Below are 23,626 nucleotides of genomic sequence, written 5' to 3'. Positions count from 1 at the left end.
TCACAGTATCCTTGTTGAGTTAATGCTATAGTATAACATATATATAGTACATTTAATACAGCATAAAGAAATCATGGCAAGTCTCTTCATACTACTGAAACTTGTAAATTACATATTTAGGTTTTACATGTACTTTATCATATTTAGTGAAGAATAAAAATGTTTAGAAGTAATATAAAAGTAAACACGGTAAGAAAGCCAAATGAACTACCTCAAATTTTTGGTTGAAAGAGAGTAAATAGCAAGAGAAATATAGGCTATACAGATAAATATCAGAAAATACTAAGGTGCCAACATAATCATAAGACATTCTACCCAAGTCTCTTGAGCTTTATAATTTTGTCTTTTAAAATTAAACCCATTTAAAATATTTAATGTTACAGCATTGCTTTAGTTTCTTTTTTCACTGTTGGAAAAATTATAGAGTAGAATTTAAAAGTATGACGATTCTAAAATAACTATTAAGTGCCTGAATGAAAAACAGGTAATTTCCATCTGCTGTAATCTGCAAATGGTTAAATTTCTACTGTTAAATATGCATGCATGTGTGTGTGTGTGTGTGTTTCTATCAATGAACCCTAAATAAGCAAACTAGAAGATTTTCACTTCACCAACTGGTATAAACATAATAATATGTGCAACCAATAATAAATTGTCTCGGCGTGCTCTGTTTCCATTGGGTAACCTTTTGAGATTAGGACATGAATATCCTTTTTTCAAATATAATTTTGGGGCACTCTTTAATTTTTGGTTCTTTGTTTTTACTATGAAACATTTTAATAAGTAGGACCATTGTCTAATTATGAGTCACTATGGGTGAAGTAAAAGGCAAGCTAATAAGATGCAGATGAGATAATTTTATTTATGGGCCATAGATGTGTGGATAAGTGTTCCAAAAATGTATTTCATGCAATTTTCATGTTGCAGTCCCCAGAAGGGGAAAACATCGTTCCATATTCAGACAAGATGGGTATAAACTGCATATTCTGTTCGTTTTTTGGACCTCTCATGCCCAGTAGCATTGTAGAGGCCATGAAAAATCCTAAAATAAAGAATTATCTTCAACACCACATCTCAGACTTATTTGCCCAGAGAAATTCCTGCCCTTATTTTCCCCCCGAAAAAAGCATACTTTGGGAAGTTCCAAGTAATACATATAAAACTACATCAGCCTCAACCAAAAATCATTCACTAGAAATTAGGTGGTCATTAAAACATCATTTTCTATAAATCAGAAGGAGCTATCTGGCGCATCTCCTTGGATCTAGCAGTGCTTGTAGCCTCACTTCTGGGACCACCTACAGGGGCTCTGGTGGACCATAGACTAATGAGCAGATACCTCACCCACACACCCACTAGAAAGTCAGCTCAAGTGTATCAGTCAACGTTTACCAGAGAAGTAGGACCAGTAGGAGAAATATAGTAAGAGATTTATTGCAGAGAATAGGTTTGTGTAATTGTGGCAGCTGGCTAGTCAAGTCTGAAATGCGTAGGATAAGCCATCTGGAAGAACAGACCAAAACTCTTGGGCACAAGCTGAAGCTTCGGTCCACAGGCAGAATCTCTTCTTATCTCAGAGAAGACTCAACCCTGCTTTTAAGGATTCAGGTCCATCTAGATTATCTAGGATAATCTCTCACACTCAAAGTCAACTGATTATGGGCTTTAATCATATCTGCAAAATACCTTCACAGCAGCATCTATATTTGTATTTGGGTGAGTGAATAACTGGGGACTACTGCTAAGCCATGTTGATACCTAAAAGACCAACAAAGACCACGCCTATCAACTGAGCAACCACACTATCTCCTTAAAACACACTTACTCGCCAAATAAAGACAATAGCCATGTCATAATTCCTCCTTATGTGACCAAATATCCTGTGTACAGGCAAAAGCACACCAACTCTTTTCCTAGAAAACGACGCAAAGTCCTTAGTTGATGTTCTGCTTATCCTTTGACATTCTACACTTTAAATGCTGAGATATAAAGTTAACCATTATTAATATATCTTATTAATAGATATACTAATAGGTGATAACAGATGCATTAATAGATGATAATTAGATAGGAGATAAAAGAAGGGGGAAAACATATATATACAAATATATCCCCTCAAAATAGGAAAAAATATAACTATTACAATCTTCATTTCTGCAACTGGTTTATGATCATAGCTGATGTAACTACCTTCTTCCATGACTCATTTTCTATTACCTTTGCCGTGAGCAAACTCCTCAGCTAGTCATGGTTCTTTGTTTAGTGGAGGGACCCAAACCTCATTCTTGAAAGGCCGGGGCCATTATCAGTCCTGCAGAGGACAGCTTTATAATTTTCCATTGTGACATTCAGCACTGGCTTGATAGTACTAAGAGATGCCCTAAAGGATCTCCTGTATTCCAGACACACTCTTCATTACATCAATTATGTAGTAGCAATCCAATTTCCTGTTGTTGATAAGGATCAATCACCTCAAGTGGTATATTAATCCCCTTCTTTGCCTGTTGATTCACAGGCATGAGAATCAATTCCTTCTCTATAAATTGAAAAAAAAAAATCATGCAGTTCTTTTAGAGTGTAGAGCACCTCCTCACAGGTCACACTCTGCCCCTCACCCTTTGGAGCCCGCTGTGACTTGAGTATAGAAATGGCCCGCGAAAGTCTTGAGGAGAATCAGCAGTGTCTTACAAGACAGCTGTCCCAAGAGAGGCCCTTACAGATTCCTGAGCCAAAACAGAGAAAACTTCCTCAGATAGGGTGAAAGTGCAGCTCCTACTGGCCAAGACAACTGGGTAGAATACAGGGGCTGGTAACCCTAGTTTCATAAGGATCTGCCGAAATGTCTCTGTTTTTATCCACCTGTGCTGCTATAATGGAATGCCTGAAACTGGGCAATTTATAAAGAATAGAAATGTATGTTCTCACAGTTCTGGAGACTGAGAAGTGTAAGATCAAGGCACCAGTAGGTTCAATTATCTGATGAGGATGGCTCTCCACTTCCAAGATGCTTTCTCTGGAGGGGAGGAACACTGTCCTCACATGGCAGGAGTAAGGGCAAGAACAAAAGGGCTTAACGCTGCATGAAGCCTCTTTAGCAAGCACCTTAATCCCTTAATTCATGAGGGGAGGAACCCTCAGGACCTAATCACCTCTTAAAGGCCCCACCTTTGAATACCATCCCATTGGCCATTAAGTTTCAACACCTAAGTTTTTGAGAGGACATATTCAAACCATAGCAGCCCCCATTCCAAATGTCAGGATCCCATTACTTCCCAATCAATTCCGTAACTTGCAGCATTTTTCCAGCTCTGTTCTCTAGAACTCTAGGATTTCTCGGAGGCGTCTCAGTGGGGAAAGGAGATAAGATATTAGGGTGTGGGTCCTAGCAGCCGTTGCATCCAGAGTGGCTTAGCTTTTATATATTGCCTATGTTGAGTTTGAAAATAAAGTGTTCTGCTACTAAAAAAATATAGTAATAATAATAATAATAATAATAATAATAATAAAATTGAAGGCTACAGGACCAGATCAGGTCTTACTTAAGTCTTTCACAACTAAGAAAGTCTGAAGTTGTATAAAACTAAAAGGGGTGGGGGGTATCTGAACACAATATACACCATGTTCAGAGGCTGGCATACACACATTAGCCACCTTTTCCATGTGACCTTACATTTTCAGGCGGAGAAGAGAGTTCAGTTTTCATCTGGAACATCACGTAAGCTCTTAGGGGAAATTGCCTGCCCACACTGACACAGTATATCAATGCAGCTTAACCACAGCCTAGTGTCCTAACTATACTCCACATCACCCCGTGCGCAGCATCTGAAGAGCTGAACAATGTCTCTATCCAAAATTCAACTGGTTCAATCAGTTACCATGCGTGCAATGTTTACAATCACATCCTAGGTTGGACTTCCTCAGGCTGATTCATCAAAGTTGGTACTTTCTCCTAAACACACCTGCATGCAGGTAAACTTCCATCTGAGCTATAAATTCCCTTCAGGTAGGTGGGCTCCCCAACACACATTTCTACACTAACTCAAAAAATAAGTGCCCCTTCCCATTCAATTACGTTTTGCCATTTACTTGTGTTATTTCATCTTGCACCAAGAGACAGTTGAACAGAAAAGCATAGAGAAAAATGCTGTATGTAAATTCCAGGCCAACTTCATATTAGGAGCATGGGGACAGTTTCCTTATAAGCCTGTTGCCTCTTGTGCTTATTGGAGATAATGATAGCTACATCTAAGAGTGTATATGTTTTAAGTAAATCAGGTGTGATAACTCATAACACAGTACCTCTTGTACATGGTAAAGATCTGTTCCCACCTTTTACAAAGCAGCAGGGAAAACTGAGAGGGTTCATGAATCTATGCACTATGAACATCCAGTGTCATCCTCCATCTTGTAAATTCAACAGTTGTATTTTGGTTGCTCAGTTTTTTTCCTTTTTCTTCTTCCCTACTTTTTCCTTTAGTTGGATAATTTGGTAAGGAGGAACTGCCAGAAATTTTAGAGATGTGAGTGCAGCAACTCCGGAAGGAGCTTGGATGTCATTCTCTTATGTTATCATTAATGTGAAAATTCAGAAGCTGAAATAGAACAGCACCTTCCCTCCAAGGGTCCCACGAATGCCCCAGAGGTCTCTGACCACCATATCACACAGGAGATGGCCTGACTGACATGTCACAGTGACCCGTATGGAGTGGCCTCAGGGAATCAACTCTGTTAACCCGGCAGCTTGGGAAGGACAAACAGGCTGACATATGGCTGAGAAGAAAAAGTCAGACAGCTCAAGATGACTCACACAGATGCTCGAAAAAAAAAAAAAAAAGTCCATACACAGCCACCTACAGTATTTTAATTTAAAAATTTTACCCAAGTCCTTTGGAAATATAATTTGCATGAAAGCCCACATGTCTAAAAAGAGTTTTTGTTCTCACATATGATTTCCCAGACCTCTAGACTCTGTGTCTTCCTCTAAGTACAGATCATTTTCCAAGCTTAGGTGTATAAAATACAAACAACAGTTAAAGCTAAAATCTAATCAATACACTTTTTTAGTGGAAACATGAAAATTAAATTTAAATTCCCCTCTCACGATTTCTCAAAATACAATTTTAGGACTATTGGAGGGAGAGAAAAAAACAAACCTTTTGCCCATAGTAGTTTCAAATACTGAAAGAATATTTCTTCAGTATTTTGTAGTATTCACAATATAACCAGTATGGACATGACACAGTCTTAAATCATTTTAAATTAATTCCCCATCACTTTCTTAGATCTAGATCAGAATTTCTCAGCTTCCGCAGTATTGACATTTTGGACTGCTGGGTTTCTCACTTTCCTGCCTCTCCCTGTCACTCTCACTGGGGCTGGGGAGTGGTGAGAGTTCAGGGTTGGCAGTGGCAACTCCCAAGTGTGGCCCAGCCTCTTCCCTGGTTCCCTGGAAGAGGTCACTTAACTGCTCCGGTTGCTTCCTGCTCTGTGAAGGATGAGATTTGAACTAGAGTGTTCTAAGGTCCCTTGCAGATCCTACGTACCACAATTCTACTGTCCTTTTGACCCTTCTACCCATCCTAAGTTCTTAATCATAGATTCGAACGCCAAACTGTGAACACAAATGACGACATGCTTAAGATTTCCCTGAGGTGAGGACGAGGCAGCTGGACGCCCTCTGTCTCCCATCTTTCTCACCTAGACAAAGATGTGTGCTCGCCAATCCTTGAAGCTGTCAGATAATGGGACACAGAACAATTCCAATCCCATGTACAGTGTGCCCAACACTAATGCGGTGTGTTGAGGATGGGGAGACCCTTGGAATATCCAAGTGGGCTTCTTAAGAGTTGCATCTCATTAGTCTAGATCAGCAGTCCCCAAGCGTTTTGGCACAAGGGACCAGTTTTGTGGAAGACAATTTTTCCACAGATCAGGGGATGTGGGGGTAGAAGAGGGTGGTTTGGGAATGAAACTGTTTCTCAGATCATCAGGCATTTGATTTTCATAAGGAGCTCAAAACCTAGATCTCTCGCAGGTGCAGTTCACAGTAGGGTTCGTGCTTCTGTAAGAATCTAATGCCTCCACTGATCTGACAGGAGGTGGAGCTCAGGGAGTAATGCTCGTTCATCCACCACTCACCTCCTGCTGTGTGGCCCAGTTCCTAACAGGCCACAGACCAGCACTGGTTCATGGCCCACGGTTTGGGGACCCCTGGTCTAGATTCAGTGATCGTTTCCTTTGGTGCAACTGCAAAGCCAGTAAAGTCCATCCATTCCCTTCCTTTGGAACCCTTAGCCAATCACCACCATGTGCTTCCACTGCCCGGGGTCCCATCAGAGTGTCCCATACTGACTTAGAACCCTCGGGGGATTTCCATTTCATTCCTGCTATCCAAATTTACCAGGCCCGTTGGTTATTTTTTTCTGACTTCAGCTGTAGATGGGCTACAATGGGATCTAACAGATTAAATGCATGATCAAAATCCTGCCAAAACTCTAGGCAGTTACCGTGTTACCCACCCCCATCCCTTCTGTCCCTGCACCCATTCCTTTTTAGCCTAGTGACAACCCACCTGTCTCCAAAGGGGTTCATGTCAAACCCTGGAGACAGGACTCTGGAGTGGATATTTAGGGAGTGGCAGCCTTTCGGCATGCCCAAATCACATGACAGGACAGGCATCCTACTCCACCCACATACAGAGCCGCCATTCTTAGTTACCCCAGTTCTTCCCAAAAAACAGTTTCCCGAACCATACAGTACTGAGCTTTCTCCAGATACAAAATTCATGAACATGTTGTGTGGGATGCAGAATGAGGGTGTTACATTTAAAATCTGATAACTCTGTAGCTTCTAACTAGTGGCGTGCTGGTAAATGTTTATCAACAGGCTCTTCAGGAAAAATTATGCACACACACATTTTACTGATAAGAAGGATGTACAGCACTCAACTTACAAATATGCAAAATACATAATATGCATATTTGTATATATGCAATGCAAAATATGCATAATAATTTTATTATAAATTTTACATAGCCAATTGATTCTTACAGAATGCTTTTGTTGATTCTACAATTAAATGAGGATAGTTGCCATGCAAGTAGTGATTGACATCTTCATTTAGTGAAACAAAGAAGATGAAGAAGTGTGTTAGAACTTGACTCATTCATTGACTTGAACAACTTCTTTAATGAATCATATAATAGCTTTCAAACACTGAAAGAAGGCTTCAGGGGTTTTTTTGTAGTATGCACAATGTAACAGGTATGAACTTGACACAGTCTTAAGTTATTTTAAGTTAATTTCCCATCACTTCCTTAAATCTCGACCAGGATTTCTCAACTTCAGCAATATTGACATTTTGGACCAGAGAATTCCGTGTCTGGGGCTGGGAGGCAAAGGGGGCTGCCATATGCATTGTAGGATGTTTAACAGCCTCCCTGGCCTCCACCCTCTAGATGCCAGGAGCACCCCTACCCTCTCCATCTGTGACTGTCAAAGGCGCCTCCAGATACTGCCAAATGTCCCTGGAGGAAAAATCCTCCCAGTTCAGAACCACTGATCTTGATCATCGACAGAACAATAAAACAAGCCAAACTGGTTTTGTTTTACAGTCTCCCTGGTATCCATATCCCACCATGGCCAATTTCCAGCTATCAAAGCGATGTCATGAACACAAAATTTAAAAGAGATGTGCAGTGGCATGTCATATGAAGTGTTTCCACCATGCAGACACAACAGACGGAAACAACCCCAAGAACATTGACACAGTAAAATATGACAAAATAAGTAGAAAGATTATAAGCTTTGAGTATTAATTTCCTTTGCTTTTAATATAATTAAGTATTAAGTTTATATAATTTAATTTTGAAAATAGCCTTATTTAACAACCAGCTTATAAAATTCCTGAAAATTTAACAATTGGCTCTCATAGGCCAGTACAGCTGATTCCAGCACAACACTGCTTCACCCCCTGAGAAGGAAGGTTTGGCTTGGAAGTGAAATATTTGCGGTGCCTCTTGGCCTGCATCTTAGAGCAAGGCTTCTGGCTGGTTTGCCTGACTTGCATCTCCCCCATCAACCACCCTCAATTCTCCCCTCAGTTGCAGCAGTTTCTGAAAGCACTTTCAAAGCACTGTAAGATCACGGGATGACCAAACACCCATTCAACCTTAAAAATACAACTGACTGCAGACTGCCTGGAAACTCATTTTGGAAAGCACCATCAAAAAGTAAATTTCTGGCCAAGCTCGGTGGCTTACACCTGTAATCCCGGCACTTGGGAGGCTGAGGTGGGTGGATCACCTGAGGTCAGGAGTTCAAGACCAGCCTGGCCAACATGGCAAAACCCTGGCTCTACTAAAAATACAAAAATTAGCTAGGCATGGTGGCGCACGCCTGTAATCTCAGCTCCTCAGGAGGCTGAGACAGGAGAATCGCTTGAACCCAAGAGGCAGAGGTTGCAGTGAGCTAAGATTGTGCCACTGCACTCCAGCCTGGGCAGCAGAGCAAAACTGTCTTAAAAAAAAAAAAAAAGTAAATATCTTCAAATTTTTCTTCCAATCATCCCAAGCTGAAGTCTCTCTCTTACTTTGTCCCCTCCATCTGTCATGCTTCCTAAATACTCTGCTGATGGCTCACACCTTTCCGTTTTCTCAGCTTATTACTTTGGAAGGAGAAAGTCCCTTCAAACCAGCTGCTTCTCCATTCATTTCCATGACTAGGTACCTCTTGCATTACCAGACCCTCAATCTCACTCACCATAGTCCAAGAAAGGCATAGCAGCGACTGTCAGTTTCCATAGGTGGTATTTCATCTATGACTCACCTGCATGTTAAACACAAATGTGTTATAATAATTCACTTTGTCAAATCAGGGACTTGGTTCTACTCCTAGACAAACATGGCCTTTGAGTATGTAGATATGTGAGATGAGTCAGGGGTAAAACAAAGGTTTTTGTTTTATTTTATTATACTTTAAGTTCTAGGGTACATGTGCACAACATGCAGGTTTGTTACATATGAACATACATGTTCCATGTTGGTGTGCTGCACCCATTAACTTGTCATTTACATTAGGTTTATCTCCTAATGCTATCCCTTCCCCCTCCCCCCACATTCTGAGCAAACTATCGCAAGGACAGAAAACCAAACACAGCATGTTCTCACTCATAGGTGGGAATTGAACAATGAGAACACTTGCACACAGGGTGGGGAACATCACACACAAAGGTTTTTAAACAAGAGAAAAACAGCCATGTATCTAGAACACATGGCTCAAACACTTCCTGTTTGGGAAGGGCATTGTCCAGATACCAGAAGCACAGGGTGAGGCACACAGTCACTGAGAGGGCCAGCTGTCACTCAGTAATCCCACTCAGTGGGCAGGAAAGTCTCAGGAGCAGGCCCTACAGGACTTCATGACACACAGAGCCACCTGCCCTTAGCTTGCCCAAGCCACATCAAGGCGGGGGTGGGGAAGGGCCGAGCTCTGTGGCTCCTCTAGGATCAGGAGCAGGAAGTAAGAGAGGAGAAAGGAAGACGAGGTGATGGTGTTGTCCCAGCTGTTCAGGGAATCACCTCCTTACCACGAGAAGACAGATCATCGCATCCACCAAAAATTCCACCCTTGCCTTCAAGTCCTGGGTGGGGTGAGAAGGTGTCTGCAGGCCCCCCCTACAAGCAGGCTGCCATCCAGCGTGGGACAAGGTGGGAGCTGCTGCAGGGTCTGGCCCCAGGAAAGGCACACAGCTGGGAGCGGGTGGTGACTTGCCTTGTACTCTCCCAGAAACTTTGGAAAATTCCTCCTCACATGCCATCATCAGATGCCCAAATCAGTGGGTCCTGATGAATCTGGATTTCTCGGGAGCCCGGGCAGTCACTGGTGGCTGCGTGTCATTTAGACAGCCCTGTTTTCATCTGCTTGTGTTCACTCCAGTAGCATCTGTGTGAAGAAAGATTTCCCCGGCTGAATCAAGATTGGAACATCGTTATTCTCAGTCGCTGATTCTTACCCCCGGGCTGCCCATTAGGAACAGCTGGGGCGTGTTGCAGACAGGCCCATGCCAGGCCCTACTTCCAGAGGCTGGGATTTCATTGGCTTGGAGTGGGGCTCAGGCACTGGAATCTTTAAAACCTCCCCAGGGGATCGTCATGTGTAAGCTGGCCTGGGAGCCACAGCTGATCAGCAATCATCACACAGCGCAGCGCCACAGGTCACCGAATGGCCCAGCCTCCCCAGCAGAAGGCCCATGTCATCGTGGTGAGCCCACTCGAATGTCCTCAGAGGAGGCACACAGCTGTGGGCGTTGGTAACATACAAGAGTTGACCTCAACAGGGTCCCCATTGCCTCTTATTCAGGCTGCCGAAAAAAGAAACGGGCTCTGCTTCCAGCAAACTTGGCAGGCAGTTCCACATGGCCAGCACCTGTGGATTTCTTCCTGTGGCTCCTGCCCAGCCAGCCCATCAGCCTTGGCCTCAAGACCTGTGGACCACGTGGTTTTTAAAAATTTCTAATGACGAGCAGGAAGCCTCTCACCTGTTCATCCACATCCCTTACTCTAAAGGGCTGTAACTTAGATGAGCTGCTCTCCATGGGCTGAGCGTCTACATCCACCCCAAAGAAGCCACTGGAGTGTGGCTTTGGAAGGAGCCATCTGTGCTGGATGCTAAGTGCGGGGACACCCAAACACTCCTCAGGGAGCCAGAGGAGTGGGTTCAGATGGGCCTGGCCTGTCTACTAATGAGAAAGGAAGAGGATATTTGGTGTTCTTATCTGGTCAAGACCCCAGCATCAGGTAGCTCAGAGGATAGGTGCAATCCTGCACACACACTGGGGAATTTATGAGCAGCAAACAGCTGACAGACACCCCTGTCCTTCTGGAGCTAAAAGACTCCTGGCCCGCCCTAAACCAGATCAGCAACTCCTCTTTATTCCTAATTAAATCGTTGCAGGCATTCCTCACCACCCTCCTCCCTGGACCTTATCAGGGTCTGGGGCAAAAGGTGTGGAAAGTGTAGCACAGTGAGCATGGGTTGCAGGTGCAAAAGTGAGTGCATGAACATGCACCGCACACAGACACGCACAGAGACACCACACGACACACAACACTATACACAACATATGCACACATACCACACACACACTACATACACACAACACATACACACATACCACACACACGACACACACCACACACACAAATATACACATGCACTACATACAACACACACGCAAATATACACACAAACTACATACAACACACAAATATACACACACAACACAACACACAACACATACACAAATACTACATACACACAACACACACAAATATACACACACACTACATACACACAACACATACACACATACCACACACACGACACACACCACACACACAAATATACACATGCACTACATACACACAACACACACGCAAATATACACACAAACTACATACACACAACACACACAAATATACACACACAACACAACACACACACCACATACACAAATATACACACACACTACATACAACACACACAAATATACACACACACTACATACAACACACAAATATACACACACTAATACACACAAGACACACAGCACATACACAGACACCACTCTACACACATTACACTACCACACACAACACACATATACCACATATGGCACACACCACACACACAGACATGCACACACACACACAATACATACACACACATCGCACACACATGCACACACAACACACATACAGCACACACACCACACATACCACACGTACACCACATACAGCACATAGCACACACACACGCAACACCACCATTGGCCCTTACTCTAAGGGGCGTCCCCTGGCAAGGCTTCCCTGCCCAGTTTCCCTAGCCTGGAACCCAGATGCCTAGGACCCACAAAGTGCATCTTTCTTCTGGCTCTTCCCTGACCTGCCTGGCTTTGTCTCATCCACATGTGCCTCTCTGAGCTCAGCACACTCAGCCCAAGACCGTCTGGCCCTCCCCTCTTGACCCAGGCCTAAGACAGTTCCCCACCCCGCCTCCAGAATGTATGTTGAAGAGAAGGGAGAACAGTCCTTCATTCCCAGCCCAGGTGAGACAGGAGGAACCTGAGCCTTTCTCTATCCCAGGCCTCCCATCCTAGGTGAGGTGCCAGGAGACCACACCACATCTGAGAGGCATTTTCTTGCATCCCAAAACATAGGGATAAAAGGAAAAAGGCAGGTTCTTAAGCATGAGACACTCGCCTGAAGTTCCAGTCAGACCCAGGAGCAAGGGTACTGGCTCGTGACAGCTGGATGGCTGGTGGTCAGGCAGGACTCTGCACCCCTGCCCTGTGTGGAGCACCAAGCTGTCAGAAGCCTCACGCTGTTGGACTTACATCTGTCTGGGGAGGGAAAGATCCTGTGCCTGCCCACCACCTAATCGGGGCTTCACAGGAAAAATGACACTGTTTGAGATGGTGCCTTGTTTGGAGGGAGGTTGTAGTACAGGGCTCAGGGGTGTGGACTCTGGAATCAGACTGCCTCTGTCCAAATTCTGACTCTGTGTGGCCTTAGGTGAGCCGTGTAAATTCTCTGTGGCTCAGTTTCCTTGTCCATGAAATGAGGAATCATAGCATTTCAACATTTATATTAATCCTCCATTGCTACCTAATATGCCAAAACATAGTGGCTTAAAGTAGCAGGAGACATTATTCTTGCAGCTTCTGTGGGTCAGGAATTCAGGACCAGCTTGGCTGGGCAGGTCGGGACCAGGACTTATTCTCTTGTAGGTTCCATCTGATGTTGGCTGGGTCTGCAGTTATCTGAAGGCTCGACTGGGCTGAGTCAACTTCTAAAGCAGCTCGTAGCCGTGGCTGGCGAGTTGGTGCTGCCTGTGGGTGAGAGGCATTCGTTCCTTCTGACATGGGCCTCTGGGTAGGACTGCTTGAGTGTCATCACGATGTAGCATCTGGCTGCCCCTGGGGAGAGCAGTCCAAAAGACAGCAGGCCAGCCAGCAGCTGTCCTTTCGTGACCCAGCCCAGAAGTCCTAACAGCACCTCTTCTGCCATGTTCTCATCTGCAGAACGGGATCACTAAGTCCAGCCCACACTCAAAAGGAGAGGAATGACACTCTGCCTTTGGAAGGAAGGAGTGTCTAAGAATTAAGAACATATTTTAAAACCATCGCAGTGTGGTTGGACAGGTGAACACGCAGATAAAATGGTTCCAGGATGATATAGATGCCAGGAAAGGAAGAGAAGGTTCTATGGAGAAGACCAACAGTGCTACTTAGACAGGATGACTTGTGAGGCTTCCTCAAGGACAAGACCCAGGGGACAATGGGAAGCCAGTGATGGGGATGGCGGGGATGAGCGTGCCAGGCAGATGGAGTGGCAAGCTTGGCGGCACAGGGAGGAGCAAGACCCTGCGGGGTTGTGAGAACACCTTTGCGGTCAGGGTGCCTGCAGCCCAGTGAGAAAGGTGCTGCTGTAACAGGGATGGAGAGGCCGCGTTTCAGCTCTTCCTGGTCTCACTCTTCCCTCCAGCTGTATGACCAAGCCCTCAAACATTCTGCCGTTCAGTGCAGTCCCGCCATTCATTTCACAGTGGTGTGTCTGGGAACAAGAAGAGGAGGGTGAGGCACCCAGAGAAACCTCAAAGCGCAAGGGAAAGACAGAGGCCCTGTGGCAGAGCTGGCGAGAGTAGGACAGAGATGCAGCCCGGACAAATTAGCCTTCCCAGCCAGGACCGCCCCTGCCACCTGGGGGACAGGAAGCTGAACTGCGAGCTGATCTCCTCCCCAGCCTCAAACATGGAACAGTCACCACTCAGCTGAGCCTCAGATAGGGGCCAGGAGGCTGTCAAGAGGAGGACTTAAAAGCAATGGCCTTGGGGGTCAGACTGAGGGCAACTCTTGCAACCCATGTGAGCAGGGCTGAGCCATGTGATCTCTAATCCTCAGTTTCCTCGCCTGTAAAATATCTAAGGCCGGGAAGGCACGGTGGCGCACACCTGTAATCCCAGCACTTTGGGAGGCCAAGGCAGGAGGATCACTGGAGCTCAGGAGTTCAAGACCAGCCTGGGAAACACAGCAAGCTCTCATCTCTACAAAAAAACAAAAAAGTAGGCAGGCATGGTGGCATGTACCTGTGGTCCTGGGAGGCTGAGGCAGGAGGATCACTTAATCCCAAGAGGGTCAAGGTTGCAGTGAGCTATCACGGCACCACTGCACTGCAGCCTGGGCAACATAGCCAGACCCTGTCTCAAAAAAAAAATCTCTATTGCTTACTCCTATGTCTGTACAATCCCTTACTTGGCTTATTTGTACTAGAGCCAGTTCCTCTGGCTCATAAGAGTTGACGGGTAGATATTCAGGAATCCTGTGAATGGTCGATAATCTTGAAATCCGCAGTGGTAAAAGCAATTCACATCATGGCAATCAGCAAACACTACAAATGAGGGATTAATTTTTCTGGACACTTGGTTTACCAGCTTACCACTGTGGATACTCCCATCTTAAGAATGGAAGGAGGAGGTGATATTTACAGCACCTGGCGCAGGGTAACTTCTCCCAAAATAACTGCTATTATTCTACACACACTCCCACCAATGCAAATACGATGATCCCAGAACACCTTTTGAGTCTAAAGATAATAAAGTTACAGGACCCTAGAGAACCCACACACCATCAGCCTCACAGACATCTGCAGACACCCACCTCCGTGGTGACTCTGCCCCGTCACTCCCACTGTCTTAATCGCTCAAGGATTCATGCCTAGGAGCACAAAGAGGAAAGTCAACTGGAGCTGGACCCCTGAAAATTAGGTGAAGCCTCTCCCCCTCCACTAAACCAGGCCCAGGGTCTCCTCCCTCACCATCCCCACACCCTCAACCCACCCAGTGACACCCTGAAACCTAATGCCAGGAAGCCATTCGCAGGAGGTGGGTGAATGCAGGGACACCTGCTGGAAACCTGATCTCATTCTAAGATTTGACATTGTGAGGCCTTTCTGTTGTTGTATTAATTAGGAATCATTTGCTAAGGAAAGCATTTTGTGGGAATTGGATTTCAAGTCAGAACCTGGGCTCGAGCCAGCCAGTGACTAGGCGTGTGGCCTCATGCAAGTCAAAATGGTGTTCTCTTCTCCGTAATAGGGAATGATTGCTTTGGCAACAAATGAGATCAGCACACTGTGAGGGAGTGCTCACTCCGGGCTGGAACCATCATGCTGTGAGGGAGTACTCTCTCCAGGCTGGAATCTGTGAGGGAGAGCTCACTCCGGGCTGGAATCATCACACTGTGAGGGAGTGCTCACTCCGGGCTGGAATCTGTGAGGGAGTGCTCACTTGGGCTGGAACCATCATGCTGTGAGGGAGTGCTCACTCCAGGCTGGAATCATCACACTGTGAGGGAGTGCTCACTCCAGGCTGGAATCATCACGCTGTGAGGGAGAGCTCACTCCGGGCTGGAATCATCACACTGTGAGAGAGTGCTCACTCTGGGCTGGAATCATCACACTGTGAGGGAGAGCACACTCCAGGCTGGAATCATCACACTGTGAGGGAGTGCTCACTCCGGGCTGGAATCAGTGAAGGAGTGCTCACTTAGGCTGGAAACATCATAGCTGTGAGGGAGTGCTCACTCCAGGCTGGAATCATCACACTGTGAGGGAGTGCTCACTCCAGGCTGGAATCATCACACTGTGAGAGACAGCTCACCAAGGCTGGTACCATCACACTGTGAGGGAGTGCTCACTCCAAGCTGGATTCTGTGAGGGAGTGCTCACTCCAGGCTGGAATCATCACGCTGTGAGGGAGTGCTCACTCCGGGCTGGAATCATCACACTGTGAGAGAGTGCTCACTCTGGGCTGGACTCATCACACTATGAGGGAGTGCTCACTCCAGGCTCGAATCTTTGAGGGAGTGCTCACTTGGGCTGGAACCATCATGCTGTGAGGGAGTGCTCACTCTGGGCTGGAATCTGTGAGGGAGTGCTCACTCCAGGCTGGAATCATCACGCTGTGAGGGAGTGCTCACTCCGGGCTGGAATCATCACACTGTGAGAGAGTGCTCACTCTGGGCTGGAATCATCACACTGTGAGGGAGTGCTCACTCCGGGCTGGAATCTGTGAGGGAGTGCTCACTTGGGCTGGAACCATCATGCTGTGAGGGAGTGCTCACTCCGGGCTTGAATCTGTGAGGGAGTGCTCACTCCAGGCTGGAATCATCACGCTGTGAGGGAGTGCTCACTCCAGGCTGGAATCATCACGCTGTGAGGGAGTGCTCACTCTGGGCTGGAATCATCACACTGTGAGGGAGTGCTCACTCCAGGCTGGACACTCCACTCGGTGCTTCACAGGGTTCACAGTTGCAAAGCAGGAATGCAGTGTGAATGCTGGGGCCAGGGTGGAGACCAGCATAGCGGGGAGATGTCAGTGCTGCCTAAGGGTTGGACCCCTCACCCAGACTGCGCCTCTGTTTCCACGCACGTCCCCTGCCTTCTCCCAGGCCCCCACGCCAGCCCTGCTCCCACCACCCATTCTCTGACCGTGGGGTCTGTGGCCCACACTGTCTTCAATGGGTGGTTCCTGCTCTCCAGGTTTATCATAAAGGAATATCCAGGCATTTGTTTCTGACATGGAATGAATGGTCATCTGTGGTATTATTTCTTTTATTTGCATCAGTTTTCCTACTTTTGTTGGTTTTTAATGAAGGTCCAGCACAGGTCCTAAAGGAGCCACAGACACTGAATCAAGGGCTAGGAGCTTGGCGGGCAGGGAAATCCCACACAACCCTTGTGCCAGCCTCCAAGTGGATGCCACCAGCCCTGCTTTACAAACGAGGGTGCTGTGTCAGCGTCCATCCATCCACAGAACCTGGAAGAGCTTTCATCCAAAAGCATCTAGAGGAAGCTAACCCATTTGGTGTTGATTTTTCTTCTCAAGCTCTGAGCATTTCGAGCCACCGAATAAAGACTTCACAAAGTGCCTGCATTCCGCATTTAGCACTCACACAGCATGGGGCTCTCCAGAAGTCAGTGGCTCCACCAAAGGCCAAGGTGCAGTGTGAGATGTGCTTGGGGAAAGGGGCAGCCTCCACTCTGCTTGGCACAGCTCCTGCTGCCTGTACCGCACCCTCGTATCCATCCTTCTCACCCGGAGGCTGGCCCATGGTAGCACCCACCTCACCCCTTCATGGCTTCTCATGATAGGGTCAGGAGCTCAAGGCAACTCAGCCATGCTCCCTTGCTGGCTAAACACAGAGAGAGGACACCTTTTCTGTTCCCTCAATTACAAATACTTAAATCATGGATAATCCAGGCTCCTCTCTTCCTTCAGTTGCCCCTCATGGCAAAGCACACACAGATTTGTTTCCCTCAACTAGTCTGCCTATTTTCAAGACTAGCTGTTCTCTCCTGCCTTTCTTTTTGGGTTTTAGTTTTGTTTTGGTTTTGACTTTGAATTCCAGATGAAACACTCTCAGGTAACATTTGAAGATTTGCAGGACTTAGGATAACAAAGAAAGTCTCAGGAAAGAGCCTTCTATCCCAGGGGCATAGCTTTTTCTTGCCTTCTTTGAAAGCTTTTGCATGTGTGTTTGTGTAGTTGTTTTTTTCTTTTTTTTTCTTTTTTCATTTTGCCACTGAACATAGATGTCCCAGAAATAGACAACCAGAAGCTATAAAAGTCAGCCAAGTTCCTTTTGATTCTATTTCTTCTTTATTGTAATTTCTGTTCCTTCCACGGTGCTAGAAAATTCTGTTTATCTTGACTCTGCATCCACTAAGACACTTGCAAACTTCTTTTCTAAGATTTAGAACTGGGTCTCGCTCGGGTCCTTAAGGAATTAAGACTTCTTTCTCAGGCCAGCTTCCAGAGCCTGTGTTTTATCATTGAACACATCCTGGAGTTGTCTAGAGTTTGTCATTTTGCTACCTATTGAGAAGCTCCACCCTTCAGGGACTTCCAGAAGCCCAGCAATACCTCTCCGGCTTTCTGTCCAGCTGCACTGCGGCTTAGCCTTGCTTACTCCTCAGCTCTGAGACGGTGCCTCAAGTCCTAGGAACAGCCCCCAAAAGGGAAACTAGCCACTCCTAATCTTAAAGGAAGAAATCCAGGCCTTTCTTCCACCATCACAAATATCTTAGGCAGGAAATGTACCGAAAGTGAGGACTAAAGCAAACCCAGCCAGGACACCTCACCCAACAGCAACATATTACCTCTCCTTTGTGCTGCAGTTCCTGTTTGCAAAAACCTTTCACGCTCATTAGCGTTGGAATCTCACGTGACCCTTCTTACAGGTAAGTCCATTGAGGCTCATGATGGCATTCAGTCCATTGTCCCGGATCAGCTAGAGCCACAGGAAATAAAGACACAGTACGTTTCTTCTTTCATTTTAAACCTTCACTTATTTCTGTAACCAAGTGACATTTGTGGGGTGTCTACTAAGTGTCAAACCCTAGAAAGACACATCAGTTCATACCACAGGCTTCAAGCTATCATATCCAACTCTGTGTTCTGCTAACAAACTATGGAGCTAGAAAAACCCTGATAAAAGCCCTTTCTCCTTATTCAGAAATCTCATGGTTTCTTAGAAAGTCGGTTGCATTTTGCTCAAGCAAGCGGCACTTGAGATTCACAGTACTTTGTCTCCTTGAGGTCTCAGAAGCCCTCCTTTCTGGGGAAGCCTCATTGTTCTAAAGATACCAGGGATGCAGCTTCCCCTAAAGATGGGCCTTCCTTCCCCTAAAGATGTCCTTCCTCTAGTAATGTGTGTTTCATTTGCCAAACCTGGAGAATGAGCTGGCAGGTGGCATCCAGGTTTAATTATTAGCTGGTTGCAGTATCTTATGTGTGGCCCAGGCCCCAGATGTCTTCAAAAATTCAAGAAAACTATCTGCAGGCATGTTGTCTTTGATTTCAGACCCCACAAGGAAGGCACCCCGTGCTCTAAAGAGTCAGGCAGCACATGCTCAAGGGCCCAGCCTTGTTCTCAATGTAATAGACCTAGCCAAGGAAAATGAGAGCATCCCATGGGAATGAAAGGCATAGTGTCCGATGTCTCAGAGACCAAGGAGTGTAGGGACTGGGACCTGCCCCCTGCCTTGAAAATCGGGAGGGTCCTGGTGATTCTTTTGAGTGTAGTCTCTTACTCAGCAAAGGCTCGCCTATAAAACATAACATTAGTGACAGCGTTCCCTCGATCTGCAGGTAACAGGCACTAACAAATATGAAAAGAAAAAGAGAACAGAGAGCCATCCAAATGCATGCTTTTTTAACCTTTTCGATTCCAAGTGGATGTTGACCTGCTATCTCCAGACTGCCCTTTGCACAGTAGGAGCAGAACCAGGCTAAGAGCGTCGTGTTCCTTGGTGGTTGCCAGGCAGCCTGCTGTCCGGCTCTCTAGATTCAGCTCTCCGTTTCTATTTTGTTTCTAAGGCTGGGATACGTTCTTGATGTGCGAACAGAACACTCTGCTGCCCTTTGCAATTTACGCCTGGTTGAAGTTTCTCACATCATAGCCTATCTTCATCAGAGATCTGTGTTTCCCAGGAAGAAACGCAGACATGCCTTCAAATGTGCTGATCCCAGGGCACTAGGGGACGTTCAGGATCACAGCTGGCCCCCAAGTCAGGAAATACCATCTGGGCCCTGTCCACTCACTCGGGTTGTTTGACAGGTTCAATCCGTGCTTCTGGTCACTCTAGGCATCCAGAAACCCCTGCAGATTTGCAGAGACCAGAGCTGCCTTTCTCAGCCCAGCTGCACACGCTGCAGGCATTTGCCACCCTGTGCACATGTCTGCAAGCACCTTTCCATGCGGCCGTCTCGCCCACCCTCAGCACTCAGTCCCCAGCTCCGAGGCCTTCCCTGTGTTCCCTGCCCAGCCCACCTTGCCCTCTTCACTTCTTACTCTTGGCAGCCCTTGTCTTTTCTCTCACTTTGGCTACTTAATATATAACACCTTGGACACCTGTGTGTGGATTTTTCTGGCTTTTCTAACTCCAGTATGAATCCCTTCCAGGGCAGGGGCAGAGCCTACAGTTTACAGAACCCCTTGGTTTCCCACAGCACACAGCATCCTACAGTCACAGGTCTTCCTTCTGTGTCATCCACACCAGCCTGGCTCTGGGACCCAAGAAGTGAAATTTGGGAATGAGGCTCCTCAGGGTTGCAGGAAGAACTAGGGGCTGCCTTGGGTCATGAGATTTGTTTGAATGTGTCTGGGGCCGCCTAGCCAGGATTCCTGGGAACTGAAGCCTCATTTGTCCCCAGGATTTATGAGCACGGTCACATTATGGTGACCCTGTGGCAGCGTGTCTGCCATGTGTGGGACCCAGCACCTCCCTCTCTATTCCTCTTTCTGCCTGCATTGTTTCTCCTCTCTTTCCCTCTCCTTAAAAGCTTCTGCTTAATGCCTTCCCTCTGTATTCCTCTCGGCTTTTGCTGCTGTTGGCTTCTCTATTTAGCTCATATTCAGACTTCCTGGGAGAGAAGGTTTGACTGGGTGATCCAGCCGCCATGTGTATAGAAATCTACTGGGCAGAGCTTCATGTCAGACCACCTCCTAGGATGCTGGTCAGCCTGTTGCAGCTACCTTTTTGGTCAGGTGTCCACCTCTGGTCCAACCAGCTGTGATCAGTGTAGCAGGGCCACTGGGGCTGAATCAAGGCAACTGATCCTGGAAAACCCCTCCAAAGCATGGCTGGCCCTGGTGCCCAAGGTCTCATGAGGACACAGAGCAGCCCGCCTTGACCTACAGTGCTTCTCCACCTCCCACTGGGTGAACGACAGATCCAAGATTCCTGAAGGCTCTTCTTTAGGTGACATAGCTATCAGTAGTCATCAAAGGCTGACTCAAATCTGCACAGTAACAAGATTCTGTACATTGTAGATAGCTTTCCATCACTGCCCATTCTTTAACTGTTCCTAATGCACTCTTCCAACTTAGCGTTTCATTAATCCAGTGGAAATGTCTTCCTTCTCTTTCATTCATTCATTCAAACAATCACTTATCAAGAATGCATTGAGGAATTATCATATGTCAGGCATCGTACTAGGGCCTGAGGACACACAGATCAAGAAAGCACAGCTTCTATCTTCAAAGACCCCGAGATAGGGTGAAGGAGCTTACACTACATTGGTTTGTGATGAGTTCATCATTCTCCCTTCTGGTAAGAGTGTGGGAATGTTGTGAAAGCTGGCACAATCATACATAGAAACTAAGTACAAAGTGCCCGGATCACTTTTGGTCAGGACCCTCCTGTGATACCATAAACATCACATTTAGAGGGGGAACTCACCCTCAGAGTTGGAGCATCCCGGGACAACTGAGTTTCTTACAGCCTCGCAGTCTGCTCATACTTCTCATGCCTCAGCAAGTACATTCCTCTAAACACAGGAATGTTGAACCTTGCACTTCATTCCCAGGGTGCTCTTACGTATGAGTGTGAAAATAGGCACATAATACTGATAACAATAAGCGTCCCACCTCCCGTTTGCTCTCCCTGGTCCCAGTGTTAGCACACAGAGGGATGGGAATGAGCCCATGCTCCTTAGCAGGTCAGCAGGTAACACTCTCCATGTTTTGCTACTAAAATGCTCAGCAGTCCAGGGCAGTGCATGCTACAGCCACATCGTGAATTATTTTAGGCATAAAATATTCCAGTGAGAGATTGGAAAATTAGCAGATTCTCATGAGATTAGGGGCAAAGGCTACTGCATTTCTCTCTCTGTGTGTGTGGCCCTCTCTTGCTTTCTCTTGGCCCTGCTTAAGCAAAAAAATAAAAATCAGTCCATTCCTTCAGCACCCTCAAAAATATTCCCTACTTCATTGTTTAGTGGTTTATTCAAAAAGACATCATGGAACTCAAATACATTTGAGATTCTCTCATTTCAGAGGCCTTGTAGTTTGTGTAGTAAATTTTGTTTACCTTAACATATAACAAAGGTTTTTTGAGTGTGTAACCAGATAGCAATTTCAGGTAGGCTCCCATTCTTACCAAGTTTTAGCTTCTAATAATAATATTGCATTTTTTATTATTATACTTTAAGTTGTGGGATACCTGCGCAGAACATGCAGGTTTGTTACATAGGTATACATGTGCCATGGTGGTTTGCTGCACCCATCAACCCGTCATCTACATTAGGTATTTCTCCTAATGCTCTCCCTCCCCTAGCCCCCCACCCTAGACAGGCCCTGGAGTGTGATGTTCCCCTCCCTGTGTCCCCATGTGTTCTCATTGTTCAACTCCCACTTATGAGAGAGAACATGTGGTGTTTGGTTTTCTGTTCCTGTGTTAGTTTGCTGAGGATGGTGGTTTCCAACTTCATCCATGTCCCTGCAAAGGACATGAACTTATCCTTTTTATGGCTGCATAGTATTCCATGGTGTATATCTGCCACATTTTCTTTATCCGGTCTATCATTGATGGGCGTTTAGGTTGGTTCCAAGTCTTTGCTGTTGTGAATAGTGCTGCAATAAATATGTGTGTGCATGTGTCTTTATAGTAGAATGATTTATAATCCTTTGGGTATATACCCAGTAATGGGATTGCTGGGTCAAATGGTATTTCTAGTTCTAGATCTTTGAGGAATCGCCACACTGTCTTCCACAATGGCTGAACTAATTTACACTGCCACCAACAGTGTAAAAGCGTTCCTGTTTCTCCACATCCTCTCCAGCATCCGTTGTTTCCTGACTTTTTAATGATTGCCATTCTAACTGGTGTAAGATGATATCTCATTGTGGTTTTGATTTGCATTTCTCTAATGACCAGTGATGATGAGCTTTTTTTCATATGTTTGTTGGCTGCATAAATGTCTTCTTTTGATGTGGCTTTATGCTCTGCTACCAAAAAAGCAGCAAGCATTTTTTTTTAAATGCCTTTAATCCAAATGTTTTATCCTGCAGATAAAGGTTCAGGTCTGTGACTTTTTAGCCCAGCTCTGACCTCTCATTAGATGTTTTGCAGATAGTTGGTTTGCACTGGCTTGGAGCTTTCTTGGCGACGGTGCAAGGCAGGCTGCATAGGTATGATTACTGCCCTTTGACGAATGTCTTGAACCCTGGCACTTTGGCTCCAAAAGCAACACCTTGTCCTTCTTTCCATTCAGCCTCAATAGATTATGTCCCTGTGTTAAGTTAGAGGACTTTCCTGAGACCGTTTTTCAACCTCCAATATCTTTTAGATTCAATCCTTAAGCTAATAGGGTAGAAGTTCCTTTGGATCATGACCCCAAACATAACTTTCCTAGCTCCTTGCTAAAATTTTTAACCACAAATGGATAATGTGCCTCAACATGAAGCCCCCTTTACACTGCAGTCTAAATCCTCTTGGAAAGGGTCTGGGACAGCCACAACATAGGCACTTTGTCTCCATGGCAGAGAATGACAGCCGGGCTCCAGGTATGGGTGCAATACAAGTTGCATCTCACACCATCTAGTGACAAATCCAGTCCAGGTGGATTCATTGAGCAGTCCCTATGGGGCTCCCTGCATGGTGCCCCATTCTGTCCACGAGCGGAGGGTGTGTCTTCAGGCTGTGCTGGTGCTTGCCTGGCCTTGCCCACGCGTACTTTATTCTCTACTCACCTATGTCCCAAGCACAGTTGCTTCAGGCTGTGC

The 23,626-nt window shown here is 46.0% G+C and overlaps 1 protein-coding gene and 1 long non-coding RNA gene across 2 annotated transcripts in view, besides 1 other annotated feature; one reads left to right on the top strand and one right to left on the bottom strand.

Moving 5' to 3' along the window:
* The window catches only part of KCNJ6 (potassium inwardly rectifying channel subfamily J member 6), a 309,085-nt gene that overhangs the window by 143,539 nt on the left and 141,920 nt on the right, over positions 1-23,626 (top strand). The gene's annotated exons all lie outside the window — the stretch shown is intronic.
* LOC101928368 (uncharacterized) lies at positions 12,407-21,382 on the bottom strand. The gene is made up of 4 exons (XR_244309.5): positions 21,303-21,382; positions 18,219-18,349; positions 14,717-14,773; positions 12,407-13,613 (listed from the first exon to the last, which is right to left on the bottom strand). It is a non-coding gene; the product is annotated as an uncharacterized LOC101928368 (long non-coding RNA).
* Positions 16,718-17,565: an enhancer, noted in NCBI's record as "H3K27ac-H3K4me1 hESC enhancer chr21:39127657-39128504 (GRCh37/hg19 assembly coordinates)". NCBI's record gives its function as "activates a minimal SCP1, AML or CMV promoter by ChIP-STARR-seq in naive H9 embryonic stem cells {active_cell/tissue: H9 hESC(naive)}" and the evidence as "EXISTENCE:reporter gene assay evidence [ECO:0000049][PMID:30033119]".

The sequence above is a fragment of the Homo sapiens genome, chromosome 21 (assembly GCF_000001405.40).
Source record: "Homo sapiens chromosome 21, GRCh38.p14 Primary Assembly".
In the NCBI taxonomy this organism is placed as follows: Eukaryota; Metazoa; Chordata; class Mammalia; order Primates; family Hominidae; genus Homo; species Homo sapiens.
This window is presented reverse-complemented; position numbering and strand designations above follow the sequence as displayed.